The sequence below is a fragment of the Homo sapiens genome, chromosome 15 (assembly GCF_000001405.40).
Source record: "Homo sapiens chromosome 15, GRCh38.p14 Primary Assembly".
In the NCBI taxonomy this organism is placed as follows: domain Eukaryota; kingdom Metazoa; phylum Chordata; class Mammalia; order Primates; family Hominidae; genus Homo; species Homo sapiens.
This window is the reverse complement of record NC_000015.10, coordinates 49,994,283-50,021,925: the sequence shown is the minus strand read 5'-3', so window position 1 is coordinate 50,021,925 and position 27,643 is coordinate 49,994,283. Positions and strand designations below refer to the sequence as shown.

At 37.7% G+C, this 27,643-nt stretch overlaps 1 protein-coding gene across 45 annotated transcripts in view, besides 2 other annotated features; it reads left to right on the top strand.

Annotated features, from left to right (window-relative positions):
• ATP8B4 (ATPase phospholipid transporting 8B4 (putative)) overlaps positions 1 to 27,643 on the top strand; it is a 323,617-nt gene that overhangs the window by 159,929 nt on the left and 136,045 nt on the right. For 22 of the 45 annotated variants that reach the window (XR_002957687.2, XM_011522056.4, XM_047433082.1 and 19 more), the window contains 4 exons: positions 11,009 to 11,081; positions 19,703 to 19,773; positions 24,936 to 25,019; positions 25,167 to 25,249. Coding sequence is in view for 39 of the 45 variants with exons in the window: in XM_011522056.4 (XP_011520358.3) it covers positions 11,009 to 11,081; positions 19,703 to 19,773; positions 24,936 to 25,019; positions 25,167 to 25,249 (311 nt within the window). In the remaining 6 variants the exon portion in view is untranslated. Of the gene's footprint in view, positions 1 to 2,949; positions 3,038 to 8,481; positions 8,552 to 11,008; positions 11,082 to 14,025; positions 14,040 to 19,702; positions 19,774 to 24,935; positions 25,020 to 25,166; positions 25,250 to 27,643 lie in introns of those variants that run through there. The other 23 variants (NR_073597.2, XM_047433096.1, XM_017022587.3 and 20 more) reach the window with 7 other exon arrangements.
• Positions 17,840 to 18,134: an enhancer, noted in NCBI's record as "tiled region #771; HepG2 Activating DNase unmatched - State 12:CtcfO, and K562 Activating DNase unmatched - State 12:CtcfO". NCBI's record gives its function as "activates a minimal TATA promoter and a strong SV40 promoter by Sharpr-MPRA in HepG2 and K562 cells {active_cell/tissue: HepG2 | K562}" and the evidence as "EXISTENCE:reporter gene assay evidence [ECO:0000049][PMID:27701403]".
• Positions 18,131 to 18,320: an enhancer, noted in NCBI's record as "active region_9389". NCBI's record gives its function as "activates an Ori minimal core promoter by ATAC-STARR-seq in GM12878 lymphoblastoid cells {active_cell/tissue: GM12878}" and the evidence as "EXISTENCE:reporter gene assay evidence [ECO:0000049][PMID:35858748]".

Here is a 27,643-nt window from a genome sequence, read left to right as displayed (position 1 = left end):
GTCAGCTCTAGAACTAAATATGCTATGCACACATTATGAGTGATCACATAAATAGCTAATCTGTTCAAATATTCCTTCACCAATATGTATTGAGCCCCTAATATGTGCCACGCACTCTCCTATGTACTAAGGATACAGAAATGAGGAGGCCAGATAAATCCCTGCCCTAGTGAACAACATTCTAGTGTGGAAGACACATAATAAACAAAATGTAAATAAATAATATAATTTCAAGTAGTTGTAAGTACAACAAAGAAAATGAAATAGGGGAATAGGATAGAGAGTGATGGGATGGGAGATGGGGAGATGATTTTAAAGACGGTGACCAGAGAAGGCCCCTTGAAGAGGTAATATTTGAACTGAGAGGCAGCTAGCCATGCCAAGATCTTGGGTAGAAGAAACAACAAGTATAAAAGCTCCAAGGTGGAAATGAACCTGACAGTAAGATGTCTACTGTGGCTAGAGTATTGTGATAAAGGGGAGTGCTGAAGGGCTGGCAAGAGCCAATTCCTAGAGGTAGTGATAGAGAATTCCAATTTTATGTTAAATGTAATGAGAAGCTACTGGAGGGTTTTCAGCAGGAAAATTATATGAACAATAAAAAGATTTCGCTGGCTTCTGTGTAGACAGTAGACAGCAGAGAGAGACAAGAGCAGAATGACGGTGACAAATTTTGTTTTCTACTCTTGTCCAGGTATGATGATGATGCCATGGACATGAGTGTTAGCAGTGAAGGACATAAACAGAAGTAGAATTATCTATCTATCTATCTATCTATCTATCTATCTATCTATCTATCTATCTATCATAATCACCATCACTCATGGATTTTCAGACACACATGCACACACAAATAGAACAGTACAATGAATCCTTTTCTATGTATTACATAGCTGCAGCAACTTGCTATTCTTGTATACTTGCATACTTCTTGCTATTTTGTATCAATTTTTATTATTTTATTTTCTGGGGTATTTTAAAAGCAAATCCTGTATGTCATATTCTGTTATCTATCAATACTTTAGTATTTATCTTGAACATATAAGGATTTACATATATTTAGCCATACTACCATTACTACATTTGACAAAATAGCAGTAGTACCTTAATAAATATCACCTAATAACCACAGACTGAGATGTATTTTGAGGGCAGAGGCAATATGTTGGTGTACTGGGTGGGTATGAAGAGAGGCATCAGGAAACCTAGTTGTTGGCTGAGGTTCCAAGATGGAGAAAACTGGGGAAGAAGCATGTGGTGGTGGTGGTGGTTTTCTGCCTGGTCTAGGAAACCAGAATTCTATCAAGATATTAGTCATTCTGTAGAGGAATGCATTACTGAAGCTTAGGGGAGAGGTGTGGGCTGAAGATATAATTTAAAAGTCATCACACTTTGGGAGGCTGAGGCGGGCAGATCACCTGAGGTCAGGAGTTTGAGACCAGCCTGGCCAACATGGTGAAACCCTGTCTCTACTAAAAATACAAAAAAATTAGCCAGGCATGGTGGTGGGCACCTGTAATCCCAGCTGCTTGGGAGGCTGAGGCAGGACAACTGCTTGAACCTGGGAAGTGGATGTTGCAGTGAGCCGAGACTGTGCCATTGCACTCCATCCTGCCCGGGCAACAAGAAAAACTCCATCTAAAAAAAAAAAAAAACAAAAAACTCATCCAAGGCCTGTTGCAGTAGCCTATGCCTATAATCTCAGCACTTTGGGAGGCCAAGGCAAGCAGATCACTTGAGAGCAGAAATTTGAGACCAACCTGGGCAAATGGGCAAAACCCCATTTCTACTAAAAATATAAAAATTAGCCAGGCATGGTGGTGTGCACCTGCAGTTGCAGCTACTCAGGAGGCTGAGGAGGGAGGATTGATGCCTGGAAATTCAAGGCTGCAGCAAGCAGAGATCATGCCATGCACTCCAGTCTGGGCAACAGAGACCCTGTTTCAAAAAAAAAAAAGTCATTTGGCCACCTTGGATGAAGATTCTGGGCCCTACATAGTGGAGAGAGGAACTCTAGCTCTCAGGCACTCTAAAGTTTGAAGATGGGCAAAAGAGAAAGGGCTGGCTAAGTGTGTGAGAAGCAGTGACTAATGAAATAAGAGGAAAACTACTTGGATGTTCTGGAATTAAAACAAAGAAAAGGTTTGAAGAAAGAGGGGGTGGCCAACTGTGATAAATAAAGTGAAGACTGAGAACTGATCATTGGATTTAGTAACATACAGGATGACCAGAGAGATTGCAGTTGGAAGGATGGAGACAAAATCCTGATTGGAGAAAGCATGGACAGTCAAGAAGTAGAGAAAGTGAGTGCAGATAGCTCTTTTGAAGACTTGAAATCAAAATCAGAATGTACAATCCTTATAATGAGGTGCTTCATAATAATAAAAAATAGTCACAGTATTTTAAATGTATATATTATTTTACAGTTTACAAAATGCTTTAATGAATCTATTTCATCTGAAAGTAAAAAATGTCATGAAAGACAGGTGTTTAAATGTTAGGTGGGTTTGTGGCATTTCAAAGACCTCAGTTTTCTGAATAAAGACATTCTGAGGGGTTGATAAGAGCCGGTTTTGGTAGGTCATAGCAGAGAATTCCAGTCTCAATCAATATCTTGCCTGAAGGCTGGTTGGTTCTGAAGCTTTGACTCAAGTGCATGTTTTCCAGTTCTACAACATGTACTCTTCTACTATGCTACATCATTTCCTTCATAAACAAGGGGGCCAATATTCTCTTCTTTAAAGGTGTAAAATTTAAATTCCAATTTCTGGCCCATTCTCAACAGAATTTGGTTTCTGCAAGTGTCAAGATTGTTCCTAAAAAGTCATCCTCAAAGGACAGGGACAGAGTCTTACTATAAAATTTCCTGGTTTTTGTTTAAATGACCGATCAAGATTTGTCATTCATGGATTTACATTGACTCGAACTTTGTTTCTCCTCATAATGAAGGTGCTGAAGGTACAAAGCTGAGGGTTTAATGACAGGAAGTACTCTGGTAATTGTAAGGAAGAAGATTTATCCTGGTCCTGAGAAAAATGTAAGTGACATAATGGTCGAAGCTTCAGAGAGTAGAGATATTTTACCCATGATTATAAATAAATCCTGACTGAAATCTGTTGACGTGATGTTAAATTATGATTCTGAGAAGACAAGCCTAGAGGGACCAGAATAATACAGTCCAGGCATATAGTTTTCGGATGAGCTCACCATTTATGGGGACAAAGCTTGGAATATCTTGAGAAATGAAAGTTAATATATCCTTTATTAGACAATCTTTCTGGTCTATCAGTTTTCTCACTGGACTTTTGATGACAGCTATATGGCAAACAATCTAACACTGAGGTCATTCTGAAGTGCAGGTATTCTTCATTGTTGACGGGAAGATATCCATATACTCCGGGTATCAGAAGACAGAGATAGTTTAGTTGTGGTTATTTAAGAGCCAGACTTATATTTTTCCACTAGTCTTCAGGTTTTTTGATAACCACAGTCTGTATCTGATTCCACTTGCAGCTCTGACACTCAGCATGGTGTCTAGATTAGAGGGGTCATTTTGTACACATAAGAGTGGTCTTAAACTCATTAATGCAGGGTGATGATACCGCATATGCCAGTGATGAACTCATTAAGAATTCTAGGGCCAAGCTTGGTGGCTCATGCCTGTAATTCCAGCACTTTGGGAGGCTGAGGCGGGCAGATCACTTGAGGCCAGGAGTTCAAGACCAGCCTGGCCAACATGGCGAAACGCTGTCTCTACTAAAAATACAAAAATTAGCCAGGTGTGGTGATGCATGTCTGTAATCCCAGCTACTCAGGCTGCTGAGGCATGAGAATAGTTTGAACCCAGGAGGTCAAGGGTGCAGTGAGCCAAGATGGTGCCACTGCACTCCAGCCTGGATGACAGAGTGAGACTCCGTTTCAAAAAAAAAAAAAAGAAAAAAAAAGAATTCGACTTATGTGCTATCCCATTTTTGAGGAACTAGGGATGATAAACATTACAACTTATTTTGAAGTGACATCTTGAAATTTTCTTAAAAAGTTCTGGGACAGTATTACTGCAAACCTAATAAGTAAATCAACTCCTGATATTCCAGTGATACCTTTAATTGTACTTTGTGCTGTAAAATCAGAAATGCTATTTCCAGAATGTTAGGTTTTCTGGCCAGAACAAACCACATCACACCATTGAGCAACACTTTCGCTTTGTCTGTGTTGCTATGGCTTGTATTATTAGTTGACATGTAAGGCAGCCAATATTTTTTCTGGTTTAAGAGACATTAGGTTATCTCTTCACTTGGCTCTATATGGGCAAATTGATTGAGACTATCACTAGAGGCAATGAAAAAATATAACATAGGCCTTTTATCCTGGAACTAAGATATCCAGGTTTTCTTTTCCATTGGAAACTATCTTCTTTTGGGGTATTTGTTTTTTTCAAAAAGAGGATAATTATTTGCTATTAAGCTTAGTAAGAGTGAATTCTCTGATTTTTCAAAATAATATGTGGCCACTTAGATGAAGAAAATAGTTGATCTACTTGGGCTAAGGTGATTGTACATTTTTTAAATCAAAATATGTTCTTCATATAAGAAAGATTTCAGAAACAGTGATTTTTTCCTATAGACATTGTTCTTAGGATAGTTAGATAGTCGGTGGTTATCTGTAGAATATTTTTAATAGATAGGTACTAGAAATGTATCTCCCAACTTTATTGTACTGTTGGCAAAGGAGGTGAATCAGATGACCTAATATTTTACAGATTTGTTTTCCCCAGAAGTTTTAAACTTGGATTGGGGAAGCACAAAGATTCATGGCAGCTTGCCTGCATTAACTTTATAGTATTGAAATTGAAATGATAGAAAGGTGGAGCTTAGAATTAAAAAAGGAATATTGGTTCACACCTGTAATCTCAGCACTTTGGGAGGTTGAGGCGGGAAAATCACTTGAAGCCAGGAGTTCAAGACCAGCCTTGGCAACAAAGTGAGACCTCCCCTGCCCACTGCCCCTCAAGGGAATGTTATAAATACATGAAGATATTGATAGCAAAGCTGGGAATGGGCTCTCAGTTTGTAGTGGATGTTTTGCTGTGCCACCCACATCCCCCCTTAGGACTGCAGAACATATTTTCCCAGCTGTCAGGAGTGCTGCCCACATATAACCTTCAGCTGGCAGTCCTCTCTGGGAATTGCCCTTGGCTGACGAGAGTGTTTTCCTTAAGGACACTCCTCCTTTCTGGGGTCATCCTGCATCCAATGACTGAATCATGCCATGGTATAAAGTCCTGGTCCCCTTGATCCTATTGTAAAGGCCTGTTCCAGCTCCAGAGCTCCAGAGCTCTCCGTGGTCTTGGCTGTGGCTTTCATTGTGGCTACATCAACAGCCCAACTGCTCCCTCTGTCCAGCAGTGCTTCTTTCCTCTCTTACAGGTGTTAATCCCAAGAGAACTTGCCAATCAACCTCTTATACATAAAGCTCCCTCTAAATCTACTACCCAGGAATCCAACCTAGACCAATAGCTCTGTTTTCTCCATGGTCAATCTAAGATAGTTCCTCTAGCTTTCATAAGGGAGAACAGATGGAATTGTCTTTCTTTGAAATCATTTTCTTCTGAATTCCTGTGTCTTCATAATCTATAGCCATCTATTCACAGAATCCTACTAAGAATCTACAGAAGATAGAGTCTTAGGAGGCTCATTTGGGCAAGGGTTTCAGTTTAGGAAAATGATGAAAGAGAATACATTTCCTGTAAAACATTCAGCAGGCTTATTGTTCAGGTAAAACTTAGTGAGTTGATCATTTTGTTTTCAAAATAGGAAGACTAAATTGTGTGTCTATTTCTGCATCTGAATAATGCACAATAGGATTTATATAAATTAGGCAGGGCATCTGTAAGATTGATTACTTTTTCTCAGCAAATTGTTAAACTAAATTCTCCATGCTATAGCACTACATCTTTCATCATCTCTTATTTTCACCCTCCTCCCTGGCAAAATTGGTGAGAGAGCATCTTCAGCAGCTGACCAGAGACCTCCCTGTGTGATTTTGCCTCAGCATAAGCATTTTGCTAAGAAGAATGGAGGAAAAAGGGAAACATCTGCATTCTTTAAAATAAATAGATTCCAAAGATATGAGCGTTATGTTCATTCTCAACGTAGTGAGATCCTGTTCACCAGTCTGTTATTAGGGGATTAGGGCCAAGCTGTATGTTTTCCTCTAGCGCAGCTCTGATGGTACTGGGATTGAAAAGAACCAGAAACTGCTGCTGTCCACTGAGTGTTTGTGTCAGGGGATCATGATTGCAAGCTGTCTTTGGATCAACTGGTTTTAAATGCTGGGAGTGTGCACTGTTGCCATGATTGGGTCCTTTCAGCTCCTTAGGGTCCAATCTTTTTCTATATAGGTAATACATAATTACTCTGGGAAATAAAAAGCAACAATAAATATAGATGTATTAAGAGCATGGGCTTTGTAGCCAGACAAACTTGGGTTCTGGTCCCAGACCTGCCACTTATATGTGACCTTGGCCAAGTTTTCTTCTATTACTTCTTTCTGCTTCTATTCTTCTTTTCAGTTGGCCATTAAAATACTAATATGTGTAATGCCAAATAATTTAAACAGTACAAAAGAACGTAAAATGGAAACGAAGTCTCTCTTCCATCCCAATTTCCCTCTTCATTTTCTTTCTCTATTGTCAACCACAGTAGTTTCTTGTGTATCTTTCAAGAAATTTTCTATGCCTATAAAAATGTATAATATATCCTACATGCACTTACTTCTTTTTACATTTCCTAATAATGTAACTTACAGCATATTTCATATTAGCACATATAGACCTACCTTATCCTTTTCAGTGGCTGCACTATATTCCATTGAGTGAATGAACCATGATTAAGTAAGTGTTTCATTGTACATCTATCTAATTCCTATTGATGGACATTTTCGTGGCTTCTAATCAATTTCTGCTACAAATAATGCTGCAATAAATATCCTGGTACATTCATATTTGAGTACCTGTAGGATCAGTTTTCAAAGTGTGTGGTCATTTAAACTTTTGATAGATACTGCAAAATAAGGCAAAGATCTCAATTTCTATGAACCTCAGTGTCCTATTCTGTAAAATGGAAGTCAAAACAATACCTATCTCTAGGGCTGTTGTGAGGATTAAATGAGATAAGATACATGAATAGTGTTGCCAGATGTAGCAAATTAAAATATAAGACTCTATTTAAATTTGGATTTCAGATAAACAATAATAATGTTTTTGTATAAATGTGTCCCAAATATTTCATGGAATATATACTAAAAATAATTTGTTGTTTATCTGAAATTCAAATTTAATTGAGGTGTTATTTATTTTATTTGGCGCTCTATACATGAAGGGATCAGTACAGTCCCTGGAATGCAGTAAGCACTAAATAAACATGGGATGCTATAATTCTTATTAGACATTCAGGCAAATGCTATCATTCAGCAAATGTTTTTGGAAATAATGATTCTATACTCCTTAATTTATTTATCATTCATTCACTGCATACTTACTGAGTGCCTGCTGTGAACTAGGTATTATTCTAAGTCCTCAGGATGGAGTGGTGAACAAAAAAAGTGTATGAGCAAGGGAATACTTTTGAGTGTTATAAGGCTGACATGTACTTGAGATTAAAGAAGAAACCAAGCTCAGGGTTAAGTGGATTGATTGGTTAATTGGGGAGGTCAATTATATTGACCTTTATTATCTACTCTCTCTAGTACCCCAACACTTCTGTAGCTTGTGAGGAAATCCCCTTTTCAGGAATCCATGTTGCTGGTGGGAAATCAGGAGCATTAGAACATGGAAAGGATGACCTTGATGAACCCATTGAAAATCCCCTCTTTTGTTTCTCAAGCTTTAGCAATGCACTTGCAATATTGCTTCCAAAAGTGTTCCTTAAGGTCAACACTTGATTTTCAGCTTCTGAAAGCAATAGTCTAGTGACGTGGAGCATGATAGGTGCTACCTCACTCTCAGACTTGCATTTTCTCAAGGAGATTTTCAGTGAAGTCTAGCAGCTCTTAGTATGCTATGCCTCATCAGGAAGAAGCAGGTTCAGACCAGTTTATCAAAAATTATTAGTTGCAGTTGCTATCTCTTACCTCCTTTTCTTAGAACTCAGAGTTCTGAGAGTAGATATATAGTGGCATATTTTTAAAAAATTTGCTTCAAATAATTCTAGTTGCTGTTCTGTGGCAGTTAAACTCCGTATGTTTTATGGTGCCTTTGGAATCTAAATTTTATGAATTTTTTACTTGGATTTTGGCTTATTTAGCAATTGACTTGTGAGTTTGCTAAGGTAAAGGCTATCTTATTATCCCATATGTATTTAAAAAAACGGATTCTAAGAAGCATTAACTAGATTATGTCAGAGTTTTATACTCTGAAATAATTATATGATGCTGAAAATTGAGCCACATTTTAAAATCTTATAACTTCTCCTTTCTTTTCAGAATATTCATATACTGCAATTCATCTACAGGAGTTTTCACCTTTTGACAATGGCAAAAGCAAAGTTTGAAGGTGCTGAGTCTGTGGAGCCAGTGTCACCTTCACAGCCCAAAAGGCCATCCTATGTCCCCCTAGAAGAGCTATGGTGCAAGATTGCTTTAAACATGAACCCTGAGAACAGCTGCATCACACATGTAGAGCCAGGGAGTGTCTGCTTTCATGTTTCAAGTTGGTGACAAAACCCAATCACCATACAAGCTAAAATTTTAGAAGTCTAGAAATATTTTGAAGATGAGTTTTAAAGCAAATCATTTTGTCTGACCCTCCAGTTCTGCTGGGATTTTTTTTATGTATTATTGTCAGTGGTGGTGGTTGTAGGTAGGACAAGAAAAATGATTGGATTCAAAATATAGATTATTTAAATTTGTTTATAGGTCTTTATCAGTTTATGCTTATTCAGCAAGTTTGGGTACTTCTGTTGCTATGATCCTTAGTGCTCATTAGATGTATCTCTGAGTTCCTAGTTAAGTGCAGTTATATATATTAATATTTGCTAAGACAGAATAGGGGATAATGTAAAAACTCCTCTGATTGTATTGTACCCACTGATTGTTCTACAGGGATATATTCAAATCAGAGGTTAAGCAAGGCATCTCACACAGACTATGGTTTACCAATATCTCCAGGCTCTTTTTCTGTAAACTCTAGTTACATTTGTAGAGTGTTATTTTCTCCTCTTTAAAATAACCTATTTTGTGCTTCTTTTTCTTACTCTTCGTTCAGTTTCTGATAACTTTGTCAAATCATAAGACAATTTCCTCTCATGGTCTTACTTTGTGAGGGCTGTGCTTTCTTCTTGTTAGGGTTCTGTCCACAAACCTGAAAAGTGTGTCCAATTGTCCATTGTAAAGGTTATTGATGAAGTAGTTTGGATTGTGCTAGGCTCGGCGTCAACATCCAGAACTACTGCCTACTGTTTCTTGTATAATCCTTCCTAGAGCTTGTGCTATACAAGTTGGAAGAATAAGAGTTTGGAAATAAGACGCAATATCATCTTGACTTCTTCCTGAGACAGGTGCACTTTCAGTAGAGACTTCAAGGCAATTTGGTAGCAGTGCAGTTTCCAAAAATGACACAATAGCCTTCTCTGTCCACTCATGCCCATTTTTTCTAAGATGCTGTTTGCTGAGAAGTGTCACTAAGGTGCCAGAGGAGGTGTCTCTAGGAGAAATTAACCAGCACATAATTCATACCTGTAAAGATAAATGAGATTTAGAAGGCTTCCTAGGTTCTTCTATTGTTGTCAAACTAGTTAAAGTTCAGAAAAGTGTAGCACTGGAAAAATGATTGAATTCTGGCTAGAGATGAAAATACTGCAATTGAAAAATTTCCAGAACAACGTGTACTTGGATCTGTATTAAAGAAAAATTATTTGAGTGTTTAAGCCAAATGATCCAGCAGAGTTGATAGTGTGAGGCATATTTCACAGTCGAATAAATATTTAAAACTATTTTCCAGCCTATAAAACAAGTAAATTAGGTTATTTTTTTTAAAGTACAATGAAATTAACCTGTCCACCTCAACTTGTTGGGCAAACCTGCTCTACTCATCCCAACCTTTTCTCTTAGAAGGGAATCTCTGAGAAAGAAATGTGATGAAAACTTCCAAGTTGGAAAACAAAGCTGGTTTACATTTCAGGGAATTTCAGAAGGAATGATTAGCATCATGGTATACTGGCCCAGGTGGTCTGCATCCAGAGGGCCTGTCTGGTTTTGGACAGCCCTGACTAACTTGTCATCAGGGGCCAAATTCAATGGACACAATAGCTTTTCATAATAAACCCCTTTGAACTGGGTGGAGGGTGGTCTTGGGGCTCCATCATATACATGACCTGCACAGAAAGCAGTGCAGTAGGTTGACTGTGTTGTTCTCTATTCTGAGCTGCTGTCCTGTTAGAATACCACCAAGCCTGTCCTTCAGCCTCAGTGCTGGTTTGTAGGTAGTCCTTCTCATTCAGTCTTCCAAGGCTTCTTTTATCATGCTTTGTTGTTCTTGTCCTTTCCAGAGTTTAACATATTTTTCCTTTTACTTGCATTTTAGTTATTGCTCTACCTTGCCACTGTCTCCTTTGCTTTTTTGCCTCCAGTTAAATAGACTTCTGAGGCAATGGCAATGATGTTTCTGTATTTATCAATCGAGTTGGAAAAGAATGTCAGTGACTAAAATTTATTGAGATTTCATAGCTGCTGCATAAAGCTGGCACCATAGGTGGTGGAAAGAGTGCTCAGCCAAGAGTTTAGCATTTGAGTTTAGCCCAGGAGTACCCCTAACTCACTGGGTATCTTTGACCAATCACTTAACCTCTCTGGGCCTTTGTTCCCGTGTTAATGTAAGACCATTTTGAATTAACATACTAGGAAAGTCTTGCCTGCTTCCTCTGTTATATGATGCTACATTGTGAATACATTCCCTTGGTTATACTTTCAATTCTTCATTCTTGAAGAAAATTAATTTTATTTTTGTTTTTAGACTGCAGAATGAAAAATGGATGAATGTCAAAGTGGGAGACATCATTAAATTAGAAAATAACCAATTTGTTGCTGTAAGTATTCAATATTGTTTGAATAATTTATCTCAGATTAAAGTAGCATATATATGGAAGTATTTACATTTGCAAATTTAGTAAATCCTTACTAATCCAGAATAATTATCATCAGTATGTATTAGTAAAAAGTCTCAATTATAAAATATTTTAAAAGACGTTGATTTATTAGTTTCAATAACTTGGCAACTCACATAAGGTTGAATGAGTATCACCTTGTCCATTTCCCTAGAGATCTTTTAAATTAATAGGAACAAAAGATTTTACATTAGCCAATATTTGATGTAAATAAGAGTTTTAAAAATGCTCCTGAGTACTTTAAAAAGTCTGCTCTCACATATTTTGTGATTAGTACTGTTAATATCCTGATTAGTATTGTTAATTTACAGTATATTTGAAAAAAAATAAGCTAGAGAAAGAGAAAAGATATGTTTCTTCCTTAAAAATTAGAAAATGTGTATTGATTGTGCTGAATTAATAACATGTTATTAATGAGAGTTTACTTTATCAAGTATATTATAATTTATATACTCAAATGGCCTATGTTATAATTTCCTTAATAAAATTCAAGGGATTAGTCTAATCACTAAAATATATGCAACTAACTATAGTTCAAATTAAATTTAAGGTAACAAAAGTTATTGAGATCAGAGATTAAAAAATTCAAGTTATTGTATTGTTTCTGTCAAATATATATTAGATTACATATGAAATTTTTTGTGTTGAGTGCTATTTTGTGTATCAAGTTGAGACATTTTACCACAGGGAAAAAAATATGGCCCCAAGAGTTATTTACAAGAATAACAACTCAGTTAAGAGTCCTAAACATTCACTTTCAGAAACAGTCTTCTTTCATTAATGCACCATCTGTGTATACTGAATTCTCCAGAACAACCCACACTAAGGAGACTACTCAGTAGACAGGCCATTCACAAAAGAGTTCACACTTTCAGTAGAGAAGTGCTTATTTCTCTGGTAACCACAATGCTTTGGAAAATAGCTGGGAGCCAAAAATAAACACAAAGGTGTCGGCAGCCAAAACAGAGGTCTCAAAGTCCACTCTGGTTAAGCTCCTTATAAGTAGAACAGTTTGCCAGGTTCTCACTCGCAATCTATTTACTTTTATTTAAGCCACAATTTAAATTTGCTTGTCCATCTTATTTTTCAGCTCATTAAAGATTAGGAATAATACCCTGGAAGGTGGTGTCTGTTAGAACATACTCTGTGCGTGGAATCAAGGTAGCTCCAGTGTAAGGGCACTAGATGGGGAACTGGGAGAGAACTGAGACTTTGCTTCATTCTTTCAGTGACAGTAAAGACTTTATCTTCTTTGTCTTTGGTTTGTCCATGTGTCAAATAAGATGCTAGACCACTACAGGATCTCAAAAATCCGTTCCATGCTGTGATTCTCTTCTAAGCTGACACTAGACTATACGATTCTTGCAGGCAAAGCACCTATTGATTTGCCTGTTCTCCAACACTTGGTGCCATGTTCCATCAACAGGGGCATTTGGTAAATGTTAGCTGAATAATTAAGTGTTGATCTTTGTAAGAAAGAAGACAGGAAAAAAAAGAAAAGTAGATATAAATTTACAAAAATTCAGATGTTCTGGATCAATAGGATACCAGTAAACAGTATCTGCCCTAATTAAAGATCACATATATTCAGGGTTCTTTGTCTAAGAAGAAAGGGCTCCAGGCAACTCATTCGAGTTCTACTCTCAATTAAAATGATTACAGTGAAAGAGTTTTGGTGCTTCTAAGTGGATAACCTTAACTTATAAAAAAGGGACGTGTGGAATTCTAAGATGTGTGCATTCAAATGTTTTTGGCAATGACTTCAGCTAGATAGTGTCAGATTATTGAAGAATTAGCATAAACTGATATATGCCACACACTTAACTATCATTTTATTTGGAATAGAATATTTCAGGGGCAATGCTAGGTTTGTTTTTACTTCAGGTATTCAGTAAAAACAATGAGTGTTAGGAGCCCCATGAACGTGCTCTAACAAGGGTGAACATCAGACTGGACTCACTTGTTTACTAACGCCATAGTGTGCTGATTTATCACATTTTTAGGAGTGGGTCCAGAAAAGCAGCAGTCAAATCTATGTCTCAAAGCTTTTAACTCTATGGTGCCTCATGGCCAGCAGATCTAGGCTCCAATTGGCCATCTAGCCTTTATATTTGAATTTGTGTTTTCTTTGGTCTTTGTTTTTAATTTGGTTATATTTTCTATATTATGGTATGTGTGCTTACTTGCTATTGCAAAAGCTTCAATGAAGTGAAATACAGAAGGCAAGCACAAGTGCAATTGAAGAGCAGAATTTTGAATTTTAATTAATTTAGATTTAAATAGCTACATGTGATTTGTGGCTACTGTATTAGACACACGGATGTGGCCTTTTATGGTGGTTCCCATGATGGGGTGAGAATGCTTATTTTCCACTCTTCCTCTTGTTATCGTTTGGAGGGACAGCACCAAAATAACACTCTAAGTGTCTTTCATCCAGTTGCTCACGCCTCTCTCCTAGGAGTGTCTTCTCTGATTGGTGAGTTTGGGAGCTGGGAGTGGCGCCACATGACCTAGGTGATGCTTCCTTAATTCTTGTTCTCTTTGAGCTGCACCTGTGTGCAGAGAGTCTGTTCTGCTCTGCTCTTCCACGCTATCAATTTTATAGAAGCAAATCCCTGTGGTGGGGGTATTGGGAGGGCCAGGGCAACTTAGAGCTTCCAGCATCTGTGGCTCAATGAGTTTGTCTAACAGGAGTGAAGCCCATTTGGGCCACAGACCTGAAGCCTGGTCTTTATCAGTAATAACAGCTTTATCAAAAAAAGATATTTTTATCTCCATTGTTCTCTGTTTGACTCCTACAAATGTAGTTCTGTTGGCCTAATCTTTGGATAACCGAGGATGGGAGTCCTTCAAATCCACCTCACTGAACCTCTTGATTAGGTAATTTTGTTCAAAGTTTTTCCATGTCTATCTACTCAGCACCTACAAAACCATTTTCAAGGGCAAGACAATTTTTTTTTTGGTGAACCATTGGAATCACTTAGGAGTACTAATATATCTCCCTGCACTCTGGTATCAGCTGGCAGGGGCTTCAGAGAGCTTATATTCGGGGGGCAAAACTTACAGGCCCCTGAAAGAGACCCACTTAGGAGTTATACTGAGGTAGATTTGGGGGAAACCAGGTCATGAAGGTCATGAAAACAATTGCTAGCATTTATTGGCCATACGCCACATGCCAGACAATATTAACAAGCACTTCATGTGATTAGCTCATTTAATCCTCACATTAGCCCAGTAAGGGCAGGTTATGTAGTATCCTTACTGCTCTCACTTTACAGATGAGAAAACAGAGGCACAGTGCCGTCAAACAGCTCGCCAATGGGACATTCAGGAGTTAAGTCTATGCAATGTAGCTCAAGTGCCTCCACTTCTAACCACTACCATTTGCTGTTCCTTACTCCATTGGAACAGTCATCCTCATTGACTTGAGTCTGGGCTACCAGAGTTAGGGGCTCTTGGCTTGGATGCTGGAAGCCAAGTGATCAGAAAATATGTTGTGCCCAGTGCAGATGCATAACTTCTAGCTGTTCGAACTTAGAATTTGCAACCTGATTTATGTCAGTTTATCAGTAAATTTTAAGCAAGGAAAAAAGCTCACCGGAGATTGCCAATTAGCTGGCATATTCAGAAGTTACTTACCTTTTATTTATTTTTATTTATTTATTTTTTTTATGTTCTGCATTTGTATGTACATTTTAAAATTCAAGAATACTTGTGGGCTGAATTGCCAGAATTCCTAGTTTTTTGGAAGGACCAGGAAAAATGCAGAGTATAATTCAGATACCACAAGGAGTCTGACTTGCATTAGAAGAACCAAATAAATTTTGTTAGAAAAACATACTGCAGAGTTCCTGATACCACCGGAACTCGGACCGTGGGAGCCAGGTGTACCTTTCTCCTTCACTGGACAGCAGTACTCTTGTGTTGTTTCACTTTTCTTAGCTGATGGTAGAAATAAAATCCTTACTTGGCATGAGCATATTTGAACATTACTAGAATTGAGTTGTTTAGCTTGTTTGAAAAGTCCTTCCTTTCCCTTCACAAAAAGGCATTCATAGAATTGTTGTTTTAAAACCAAGGCATTCTTCTGATAGAGGAATTGACAATTTTATTCTTCGGAAATGATAGGGCTAGAATGATTAATTTGACCTAAACTCCAGGCGTGACTGGGGTGGGCTTTTGCTCTTTCTTGACTCATCAGGGAATTTCATCTGTTCTTTTTCAACACCTATCTTGGACACACTTCCAGAGAGGCCTTTTTTTTTTTTTTTTTTTTTGGTGGTCTCATTGCCCTCATTGCTCTTTTAAGTTTTATAACTTCACGTCAGAGTTGCTTGTTGTTCCAACCTATTTGCTGTAAGTAAACCATCTCTATCTTTCTATCTCTTTCTGTCTCTCTCTCTGATATATATCTATTTGTCATATTTATATGACAGTAGAAAGTGGGGGTAAAATATTCAGGCAAGGATTTTTTTTTTTTTTGACTAGAGGAACAGCCTGCCTGTTAATAAATTTTATGATGTCCATTATTATTCTCAGCCTTCCTTCTCTTCTTTGTCACCATCTTTTTCTTATTCTTCTCAAATCACTGTAATTAGAAAAACAATGATGTATCCCGTACATATTAGTAATCAATATGCATTTATTGGACCTGAAATTTAAATTTTAAATACAAACGTTACCTATTACCATATAAACTTCATTTTTAGGATCTCATTCTCATTTTTTGACTCAATGCATGAGGTATTTGGTTTATTTTTATTTTTAGATTAAAATAAAAGATAATGTTGTAGATGATAGAGAAGATGAAGAACTCTGTGTGAGAATGGCCTAAAAAATAAAAGGCGATCCAAAAGTGTTCAACTTAATTCTACAAATTTATCTTTCCATCAGGTCATGGAGCCACAATCCAAATATTCTTTCACCATTGTAGTTTTGATTTTTGAACACCAACAAAGCAAAACAAAACATAAAACAAAGTGAAATACTTTCTGTTTTTCGTAGTTGTGTTCCAGTGATTTAGTAGCCCACCAGAGGAAAAGAGCATACATTTTGGGATCAGAAGTTCTAAATTCTAATTCCAGCTCTGCAATTTAAGCTATGAGTGTCCATGAGGATTGTGTTAAGTCTCTTGGGCCCTTGGGTTCCTCAATGACTTTGGAAGGGCCATGGGCTTTACATGAGTTAATTTAGTTCTTCTGGTGGGTGTGGTAGAGTCTATTCCTCCCTCACTCCTGGGCCAGATATGACCTCCTGGGTTCCTCATCCATACAATGGGAATAATACTACTCACTCACAGGGTTGTGAAGAGAGTAAAACGACACAATTATGAGAGAGGGTTTTATAAATCCTTAAAGAATTGTACAGCTTTAGGGTGTTATCATTGCTTTACATTTTACTTTATTCTTTAACTCAACAAATATTTATTATGCCTAATAACCCTATGAGGACAATGTCTTTGGCTCTGAGGACCCAAATATGTTCAGTGCATTCTTTTCAGATTCCTTCTGATGGGAATATTTGTTTTCTGTTGCCCATGGAAGTTGGGGAAGGGGCGTTGTGTTGGAAAACACTGGTTCCTTCATGAAGAACATAGCAGAGCCTCTCCTGGCAGAGCAAGGAGAAAAGGCATGAATAATTCACAAAAGAAAGTAAATATGGGGCATATGATAGGTGGTTCTGATCAGAATTAATGATATCCTGGCCCACTTGTGAGTTTGGATATTCACGCTTTTCCTTTCCTCTTCTTTACTCCTGCTAGTCATTCTGCCTTGGGGACTTCCTTTCACTGCATCTAGAATATTCCATGATGCCCTTCCTCAACTACCAACCCAACGTTGCACTCTCATTTGCACTCCTTTCATAGCACTTTGTTAATGAGGCTCTTAGAAACCTTATATTCTGCCTTTATTAAACTATACAAATCCTTGAAGCAAAGAGATTTTTACTCATTTTGGTATCCCTTGCAGTATATGCCTCATACTGTATGCCCAGATTCAAATCCTGGCTCCTACCCTTACTGTGTAACCTTGAGGAAGTTACAGAAGCCCTCTGGGCCTTACTTTGCTCATCTGTAAAGTGGAGATAACAATAAGACCTGCGTTACAGGATTTCTGTGAATGTTAAATAAAATAGCGCATGTGAAGCTCTTAGGATGGTGCTGGACACATAGTAAACCCTAACTAAATATCAGCTACGTTATTTGGAATCATAAACACCTACACCTGGAACACAAGTTTCTGGATCAACTAGGAATTGGGTCCCCGTAGGATTTACTGGATGAGTCAGCTTGAGGAGGCCTGTTGTGAGACTCAGAGTCCTGGGGAAAGTGGGCCCCAAAATTCATGGGTTGCTCCACTCCTGGCACAGCACTTCTGGCAAACGGGTGACAAGGGATGAGCAGGGCTTTTTCTGCAGCTCTCCTGCCCTTTCCTTTTCAGAATTATGACTGAGGGCACTAGAAAATAGGCCTGCCTGCATGACAATGAGCGCATTGACCGCTTATCCTCCCGGCCCCGCTGGGCCTTCCCTTCGCACTCCCTCCTCAACCACAATGAATTAACGCCTTGAAGGACGAGGTTAACAAAAGGGAACAGCAGGCCTCAGCAGAGGGACAGGGAGAAGGGAGGATGGATGAAGGGAGTGCAGCAAGGCCATCAAGGAGTAGGAAAGCAGGAGGAAGGTTCAGAGAACATCAAAGAAAAAGCTGGTAACTGGGGAGATGGGCGGAGGTGGGGAAGGTAGGCGTCTTGGTCCTGGAGAGTACAGTGAGCAAGAACAGTTAGCCCGGAACCTATGGGGGTCAGCCTGTGGGAAGCTGGGTCACTGCTCAGGAGAGAATCTGACCGCCAGATGGCAGTGGCGCCTCAGTCACATGTTCCTAGCCAGCTGTGTGCAGGGACTCCACCCCTTGTTTACCATGGTGTGAGTGTCAGTGCAGCCCCACCCAGTCTTCAACAGTAACACTGGATTCGAGTTTCAAAGAAAAGCAGCCCTGGGTACAAATAGGCATCTTTCTCTATATTCAATCACAGATTCTTAGGATTAGAGAATTTTGGATTTTGTTTAACATGAGCCTTTTAAGCCCAGGGGAGGAGAGGTGCAGGCCCATAGACTGACTGTTAAGCTCTATTGCTGTTTAGTGCCTTGTGCCTGGTTTTATGCATTGAAATTTGAATGTGGGAAATAAGATCAAGGTGAATTTTCAAAAAAAATTTTTTTTTCCTTTAAAATCAGGATGGGTAGTTTTTGGCCCAAGAGCGGCATCACTTTCTTTATGTGGCTTTCCTCTGTTCACAGTGTGACAAGTCAGAGAATTTCTGCCTCAACAAGCTTCTGTGGCTCTTTGATTCAGAGTTGTGTAAGAGCCTTGCTAATGCAAACCCACTTATTCTTTTAGGGGCCGTCACAGGGTATTTTTCCCCAGCTCTGTTTTATCCCAGTTTAGACAAAACCACACACACACACACACACACACACACACACACACACATGCACACCCTATTTTTGAGTTGCAAATTTAAAAGCTTGAGACAATCAAGAAAGTAAGTTGATTCTAAATTTAACCCCCAAGATTCAAGAACAAAGCAATTCTAATGTTTTTAAAAATAAAGGTAAGAAAATATCACAGATTTGGAATGCCAATCATACATTCAGACATAGCTAGAAAATTGTTAGGCTAATGTCTCAAACTAAATTGCTAAAATTTAAGCCAATTCTTTTTAGACATTCAGACCCTTCAAAATTTTATAAAAACACTTATTTTTAAAATAAGTTTAGAGCTTTGAAATAAAATCAATAAGCACTTTGCCAATTTAGAGAGCTACCAGGATGCTAAAACTGAATTGTGATAGGTGATATGCAAAGCTCAATTGGACATCAGAATAGAACTGTTTATCTCTGAAAAATCCAAACTACTCAGTATCTGATTTTTTCCCACTGCCTTTGACTACATTTTCTCTTCTGTCTTGCTGTTTTCCTTAGTCCCTACTTTATCTTAGCTCTCCTCTTTCTTACTCCCTACCATCTTTTACTTTTTTCTTTCCATCTTTATCTCTTTCTTAACTTCCTTGCCCCTCTTATTTTTATTTTATTTTTTCAGTTTCCTCCATCTATTTCCCTTCTGTCTTTTCCCCATCTCCTTTGCCTGCTCCCTGCTTTTAACTGATGACACTAGGTAATTAAAGTTTGTGCATATATTTCCAATTATTTATTGGAGAGAGTTTTATGTTAGTAATTATCAAAGCAAGAAAATAGAATTTATATGTTTCATTAAAAAAAGGTGAATCAAGTGGCTATTAATTCATATGATAGCTCCTTTCCTTGCTTATGTTGTGATAGTCAAGGGGCATATAAAGGAGGAACAGGGAAGAGGGAGGGTTTGGTTCAGGGCATATGACATAGAGGTAGAACAGGATCTCACTTCTTTTACTCTGTTTCTGAGGCTCTGTTGCCTCTTTAGTAGTCAAGAGGTGATATACTGTAGAAGACTTTCAACCAATCTAACTTCTCAAGTATTCTTTTGTTATGATTTTTGAAAATAGGCTGATTTACTTCTCCTATCAAGTAGTGAGCCACATGGTCTCTGTTATGTTGAAACTGCTGAGCTTGATGGGTAAGTTATTAAAATTAGAATAATTTGGTTGGTTTTTAATTTATTTAAAAGTAATGTCTTTAGAGATAAGACTTAACCTTGTTCAGTATCTTCTTGGGAGACATAGGAGTTTACATTGCAAAGTCCATAGTTAATTACTCTACAGTAATTTTGAAACTGTTTTTTCTCTTAAATTTATTTTCTTGCAGAAACAGTGAGCGAAACTTATATACAGGAATAACTTTACACAGAGAATCTTCAGTAAGATTCCTTAGATTTTTTAAAAAAAGTTTTTGCTTGTTTTGATTTCAAGTGATTTTATAGGGAAAATGAGAGGGGTAGAGATCAAGATTCCTTGAGGAGGGAAGGAAGGACTGATGTTACTTTAAAAGGCAACCTTTTGGAACTGTGTCAAATGAAGACATAGAAAAAGAAGAGAGAAACAGAATATGATGCAGTTTTGATGTTGATATTAATTTAGAATTTAGTTATAGACCATATAGCAGTTCTGTTTCAGAGGATTTAGTTTGTCTGGCATAAAAACATTTATTGAATGCTTACATTTTAATGACACTATGTATTTGTGTTCTTTAGATGGAATTTATCATTTAATCCTGATGTAGGTGCTATGTAATTATGCCCTATTGTACAGACAATGAAATCAAGGCTTAGAGAGCCTAGGTAATTTGTCCAAAGCATCTGAAGAGTGAAGCCAGGACTCGAACCTGGCAGTCTGACACCAGAGTCCATGGTTTTAACTGGTGCCTTCCAAATTATTGTCATATTGAGCTATTCAAATAGTACTTTAGTCTGTGGGACCCTACTTTGGACAGAACAGTTCAGACACAACTAAAACAGTTCTGAGAGGAACATTTATGGCATACATTTGAAAAGAGAAAAATTCTCAAATAAATAATCTCATCATTCATCTAAAAACCCTAGAAAACAGCAAAATAAACCCCAAAGAAGCATAAGAAAGGAGATAATAAGATAAGAGCAGAAATAAATAGACTTGAAAACAAAAAAAATAAAGAAAATCAACGACACAGAGCTAGTTCTTTGGAAACATCAATACAAGTGACAAACCTCTAAGAATACTGATAAAAGAAAAAAAAAGAGAAGACACAAATTAGCATATTATGCATGAACCATGGAAATTTGGTATAGATCCTGAAGACATTATAAAGGTAAAAAAGAAATACTACAAACAACTGTGCACACATAAATTTGACAATTTAGAAGAAATGGACCACTTTCTCAAAAAAAAGACTATACACTTAATATGAAATAGATAATTTGAATAGCTCTATAAGTATTACAGAAATTGATTTCAAATGTAAAGTATAAAAAGCTTTGAGGAAAAAAATAGGAGGAAATCTTTGAAATCTAGGGCTGTCTGGTCAGATTCTTAGACTTGACACAGTAAACATAATCCATAAAAGGAAAACTTTGATAAACTGGACTTCAAGAAATTAAAAATTTTTGTTCCACAGAAGTTCCTGTTAGGAGGACTTAAAGATAAGTTACAGACTGGAAGAAAATATTTGTAAACCATCTATTTGACCAGGGACTTGTATCTTGAATATATTTTAAAAAAACTTCTTAAAACTCAATAGTAAAAAAACAAACCATCCCATTTGAAAATGGGCAAATGACATAAAAGAGACATTTCACCAAAGAGGACGTACAAATGGCAAATAAGCACATGAAAAGATGCTCAACATCATTAACTACTGAGGAAATACAAGCTAAAACTACAATAAGATCTCACTACAGACCTATCAGAATGGCTAAAATGAAAAAGAGTGACAACTCCAAATGCTAGCAAGGAAGTAGGGAAACAGGATTATTCATACATTGTGGGTGGGAATGTAACATGCTACAATCACTCTGGAAAATGGTTTTGTAGTTTCTTAAAAACTGAACATGCAGTTAACATACAACCCAACAATTTCACCCCTGGGCATTTATCCCAGAGAAATGAAGACATGTTTGTACAAAAACCTGTACATGAATGTTTATGGTGGCTTTATACATAACATCCAGAAATGAAAACAACTTGAATATCCTTCAATAAGTCAATGGTTGAATAAATTGTGGTACATCCATACCATGGAATACTACTTAGCAATGAAAATGAGTGAACTACTGATACATGTAACACTCTGGATGAATCTTCAGAGAATTATACTGACAAAAAATAGCCAATCCCAAAGGTCACATACAGTATAATTCTGTTTATAAAATTTTTGCCTTTTGAAAAGGCAAAATCATGGAAATAGAGAACAGATTAGTAGTTTCCAGGTGTTAAGATGGGGTGGGAAAGGCAGGGAGGTGGGTACGGCTATGGAGCACAACCTGAGGGATCCCGCAGTGATAGAAGTGTTCTGTATCTTAACTATTTCAATATCAATATCGTGGTTGTGATATTATACTATATTTTGCAAGATGTGAAACTGTAGTAAGATGCAATTCTGAATAAGGGGTACACAGCATCTTTTGGTATTGTTTCTTATGCTGAAAATCACTTTGAAGTTTATCAAGATACTCAGGCAGATTAAGCAAGAGTGTGGAATGACAATGAAGGCATTAATCAGGAGTCCTGGAAAATACTTTTTTTTAAATTTCATTTTATTATTATTATACTTTAAGTTTTAGGGTACATGTGCACAATGTGCAGGTTAGTTACATATGTATACATGTGCCATGCTGGTGTGCTGCACCCATTAACTCGTCATTTAGCATTAGGTATATCTCCTAAAGCTATCCCTCCGCCCTCCCCCCACCCCACAACAGTCCCCAGAGTGTGATGTTCCCCTTCCTGTGTCCATGTGTTCTCATTGTTCAGTTCCCACCTATGAGTGAGAATATGCGGTGTTTGGTTTTTTGTTCTTGCGATAGTTTACTGAGAATGATGATTTCCAATTTCATCCATGTCCCTACAAAGGACATGAACTCATCATTTTTTTTGGCTGCATAGTATTCCATGGTGTATATGTGCCACATTTTCTTAATCCAATCTATCATTGTTGGACATTTGGGTTGGTTCCAAGTCTTTGCTATTGTGAATAGTGCCACAATAAACATATGTGTGCATGTGTCTTTATAGCAGCATGATTTATCTACAACTATCTGATATTTGACAAACCTGAGAAAAACAAGCAATGGGGAAAGGATTCCCTATTTAATAAATGGTGCTGGGAAAACTGGCTAGCCATATGTAGAAAGCTGAAACTGGATCCCTTCCTTACACCTTATACAAAAATTAATTCAAGATGGATTAAAGACTTAAACGTTAGACCTAAAACCATAAAAACCCTAGAAGAAAACCTAAGCATTACCATTCAGGACATAGGCATGGGCAAGGACTTCATGTCTAAAACACCAAGAGCAATGGCAACAAAAGCCAAAATTGACAAATGGGATCTAATTAAACTAAAGAGCTTCTGCACAGCAAAAGAAACTAACATCAGAGTGAACAGGCAACTACAAAATGGGAGACAATTTTCACAACCTACTCATCTGACAAAGGGCTAATATCCAGAATCTACAATGAACTCAAACAAATTTACAAGAAAAAAACAAACAACCTCATCAAAAAGTGGGTGAAGGACATGAACAGACACTTCTCAAAAGAAGACATTTATGCAGCCAAAAAACACGTGAAAAAATGCTCACCATCACTGGCCATCAGAGAAATGCAAATCTAAACTACAATGAGATACCGTCTCACGCCAGTTAGAATGGCAATCATTAAAAAGTCAGGAAACAACAGGTGCTGGAGAGGATGTGGAGAAATAGGAACACTTTTACACTGTTGGTGGGACTGTAAACTAGTTCAACCCTTGTGGAAGTCAGTGTGGCGATTCCTCAGGGATCTAGAACTAGAAATACCATTTGACTCAGCCATCCCATTACTGGGTATATACCCAAAGGAAAATACTTTTTAAAAGTATCAAGAAGGCCTGTGTGTGATTATTCTTCCTCTTTTGTTTTTTCACATTTGAAGATAGAACTGAGATAGTGGAGAGGATCCTGAGGAAGTAATTCAAAATGATGATAAACTTTGATAAATTACATGACGTAGATTAGGGCTAAAGAACTAGGGCTATCTGGCTTTTTTGGTGTGACTATTTCAGTTATTTGAACAGTTGTTTAAATGGATGGACATGTTGGCCCTTTAGCCTCTATACCACTTTTCTCACTCTTGTCCGTCAAGCCCAGCTCAATTTCTGCTTCATCTATGAAGTTCTTGACTATCTCAATTCCTACTCATCTCTGCGTCCTAGAAATCAGCAGGTTTTGATTAATAAGATTACTTTTAAGCAAACTAGCTTGAATTATACATCCAACTTAGTCTTTCCTGAAGAAAGCTATTTTAGCAATGCGTATTCCTTGAGTTGGACTCATATTGTCCTACATCATTGTGAAATTCATTTACGGAAGGTTAAGATTGGATGCCTTCTTAGGTACCTGCTTTTTGGCTGTCTAAAATGAGTTATTTCACGGGTTTGCACAAAATTCCACACAGTGATGTTTGCTTTTTTACCTACCACTTGTTTTCCCCAAGAGGATTGTCATCCTCTTGGGGCAGCATTGCGTATCTTGGGTGACTAGGGTATGTATTTAATCAATATTTGTTGACTGAAGGAAAGTACCACTAAACATTTCCATAAAAGATAGAACTCTGATAGCTGATCTTAAGCTACAGTATAAGAGAATTAGGCTGAATTCAGTGAGAAAACTGGGATGGCAAGCCCTTAAAACAAGACGTAAGTGATGGCCATAGAATCTTAACTGCTGGCCATTTATGAATATCAGAGAGCCATCTGTCCAAAATATGTGTGGTCTCACCTATAAGAAGATGCCCAACTCACTGTGACTTGCTGAGCTTGTCTAGGTTGTCTATTTTAGACTTATGGGTTTCTTGGATTGATTCTCTAAGAAAATGAAAGCTGTATTCCCTTTCCCATTTAAATTTCAGCTACTGTGAAATTAGTCATGACCATTTTTTGCAAGTAAAACTCCTATGTAGATAGTAGACTCTGGAGTGATATTAGCCTCCTTTATTTGGCAACTGTGTTCCAATTCTGAATGTGTTTTGTAACTCATGCGTGATGTCTGAGTAGGTTCAAATGAAACCATATTTGTTATGTCCTCTGTTCTTTCAAACTGCAAAACAGATCATTGTGTTGTTATAAAGATGTGCCGTGGGTAGAATGCCAACTCTTTGGAGCCCAAGAAGCCCTGCCTACTTTCCTGAAACAGTGAGCGAAGTGTGAATGACATTCAAAGGAGAGTTTCTTGGATCTCTTGGGTTTGGCTTTGCATGTGCTACACCCACCTGATTGCTTTGGTAGGATGCTGTTGGGCTGTTCCATATAAAAATTCATGTCATGTCAATAATTTCACAGGGAAACGAACCTAAAAGTCCGCCATGCACTATCAGTTACTTCAGAACTTGGAGCAGATATCAGCAGACTTGCAGGGTTTGATGGTAAGTATTTTAAACAGATAAACAAACAAAAACCTCAAACCCAAAAAGCAATGCAACAAAGTAATGTGAGATCCAATTTATGTTTCTTTTTATTTGGTGGAAGGACATCAAATTCTCCAGGCATCAAAGCCTGTAATTTCTTCGCACGCTAAAAAGAGTAAAAATGTTTGCCAAGGAGAGAATGGCTTTATCAGTTTATCGTTCATTTCATGCTTGTTTCCTTTTTAAATATCATTTACTTCAATCCCATAATACCCTTTACTTGCTTGATGTTGGCCTCCCTGAAGCCATATACAGACTTGCTGGGGAGAAATATTGGCCACCCTTGTATTTCTAGTTCTAGGTCTAACCACCCATCCATTTCCTGGCTCCATAACAAAGACTAACTAGGAGACCTCAAACTTCATGAAGACAGTCATCCTGCCTCATGTATTTCAGTACCTTGCACGGCGCTTAGCATAATGTCTTGAAGATATTAGGTGTTCAAGAAGAATATTCTGATTTATTAATCAGTTGGTCATCTGTTGACTTTTATTTTAGACCATGGTTTTAGTATTTCCATCTTCATACCATTCAGCTGGTCCCCGATCTTCAGTATAATCTCTCTTGCCTTTCCTTTTCTACCTATATCTCGTTCTATTCTGTTAAAGTTATTCTTAAGTAGTCATGGAACAACCTCTAGATGTTGTCCATTCTAAGGATATCTGCATGTATGATTAAGATACCACAGAGAAACACAGTACTTCAAGAGTCAAAGGAAAGAGACACTGATTGTAGGATTTTAGGCACCATAATAGGCTGCAGAGAGAATCTCTGGAGTCTCCCTTTCACTCCTCAGTGGTCTCCTGCTTTACCCACTTGACAGTCTGGCCCAGAATATTAGTATATCCATACAGATTGGCTTTATTTACTAATGGATTTTCATGAGTTTGAGACAATCTTTCAAAATGTGTTTTTGGGGGATCCACTTAGGGAAAACATGGACAAGGGTATTAGCATAATCACATGAGTTAAAGCACAGGCAAGTTTATATTGTAAAGTTTCTCCAGTGCAGAGCTTAGAGCTCCTATTGCCTGTGCTTTGCAATTGCTTGTAAACTCTGGATTCTGTTAATATTTTAATCTCTCTTAAATGAGTGCTTTTATAACAGATGTTTATAGAAAAAAAAATTCCTCCGAATTGAGATTGAAGTCAGAGAGTAGCCAGGAAACTGAATGGTCCAAGAAATATTTTGATTAGAATAAAACAAATTACACATTTTCTACTAAGTAATTTTTTCAATGAAATTTTACTGTTATGTGAATCCAAGAAAAGTAAATTGTGTTCATGAATCAAAATACTTGCTTAAAATACCTCATTGAATATTCATGGAGGCCCAAAAAGGCCATCTAAATATAATTTACTATTACTCATTTCTTTCCCGGCAGAATTTACCTTTATACCTCTATTGATCTACGAGGAGGTAGAAATTCATGATTTTTAGTGTTGCTAATCATCAAAAAGCAGAACATGATTGTTAGCAATTATTTAGGTCCCATTCTTTCCTAGATGCTTGCTCAGATAGGCTACACTATGATGCAGTTATAAACAGCCCTGCAATCTTAGTGGCATAAACACAGTAAAGGCTTATTCTTGCTCATGTCACATTCTTAGTGGGTTGGGTGGCCTTCTCCATCATGGAGCCACAGTATCTGGACTAATGGCATCTGAGATCACTGCACTGGGCTAAGGGTAAGATGAAAGAGACACAATGGTTTTTAAATTCTTCTTCCTCTTATAGTTCATTGGCTAACATTGTCACCTGGCCCTGACTTAACTGCAAGGGAGGCTAGGAAATAACAAGTATGAATACTTGTTGAGCATTAACTGTCTCTACCACACCCTTCAAGAATCGTGGCCATGTAAGTTGATGCCAGGATAATGCATAAGGAGCCAGGCTGGATTAGGTGGATTTCTTACATGGAACTGCAGGACTGGGGTTAAGCATCCCCCTCTTCAGCATGACTCCTTACACTCTCAATCCACCATACCCTGCTTGGCTTTTTCTTCTTCTTATAGCACTTAGCACTGTCTGGCATACTGGATAATTCATTTATTTTTTAAGTTAATTATTTATTGTCCATCTTTATCTGCTTCAGTGTAAGCTACACAGGGATCTTTGTTTTATTCACTGATGTACGCCAAGCTTCTAGAACAACGTCTAGCACATAGTAGGTACTCAGTAAATCCCTGCTGGATGAATAAATAAATAGTTACAAATCCCATTGGGGGGCCGAGAGGAAGACTAGCGTCAGGGCCCAAAAAGACATGGGAGGGCAAAGGAAAGTCCTAACGTAAAGAGACTGGGAAGAGAGTGTGAAACGATGGGGTGAGGAGGAAGCTTTAGCTTCCTGA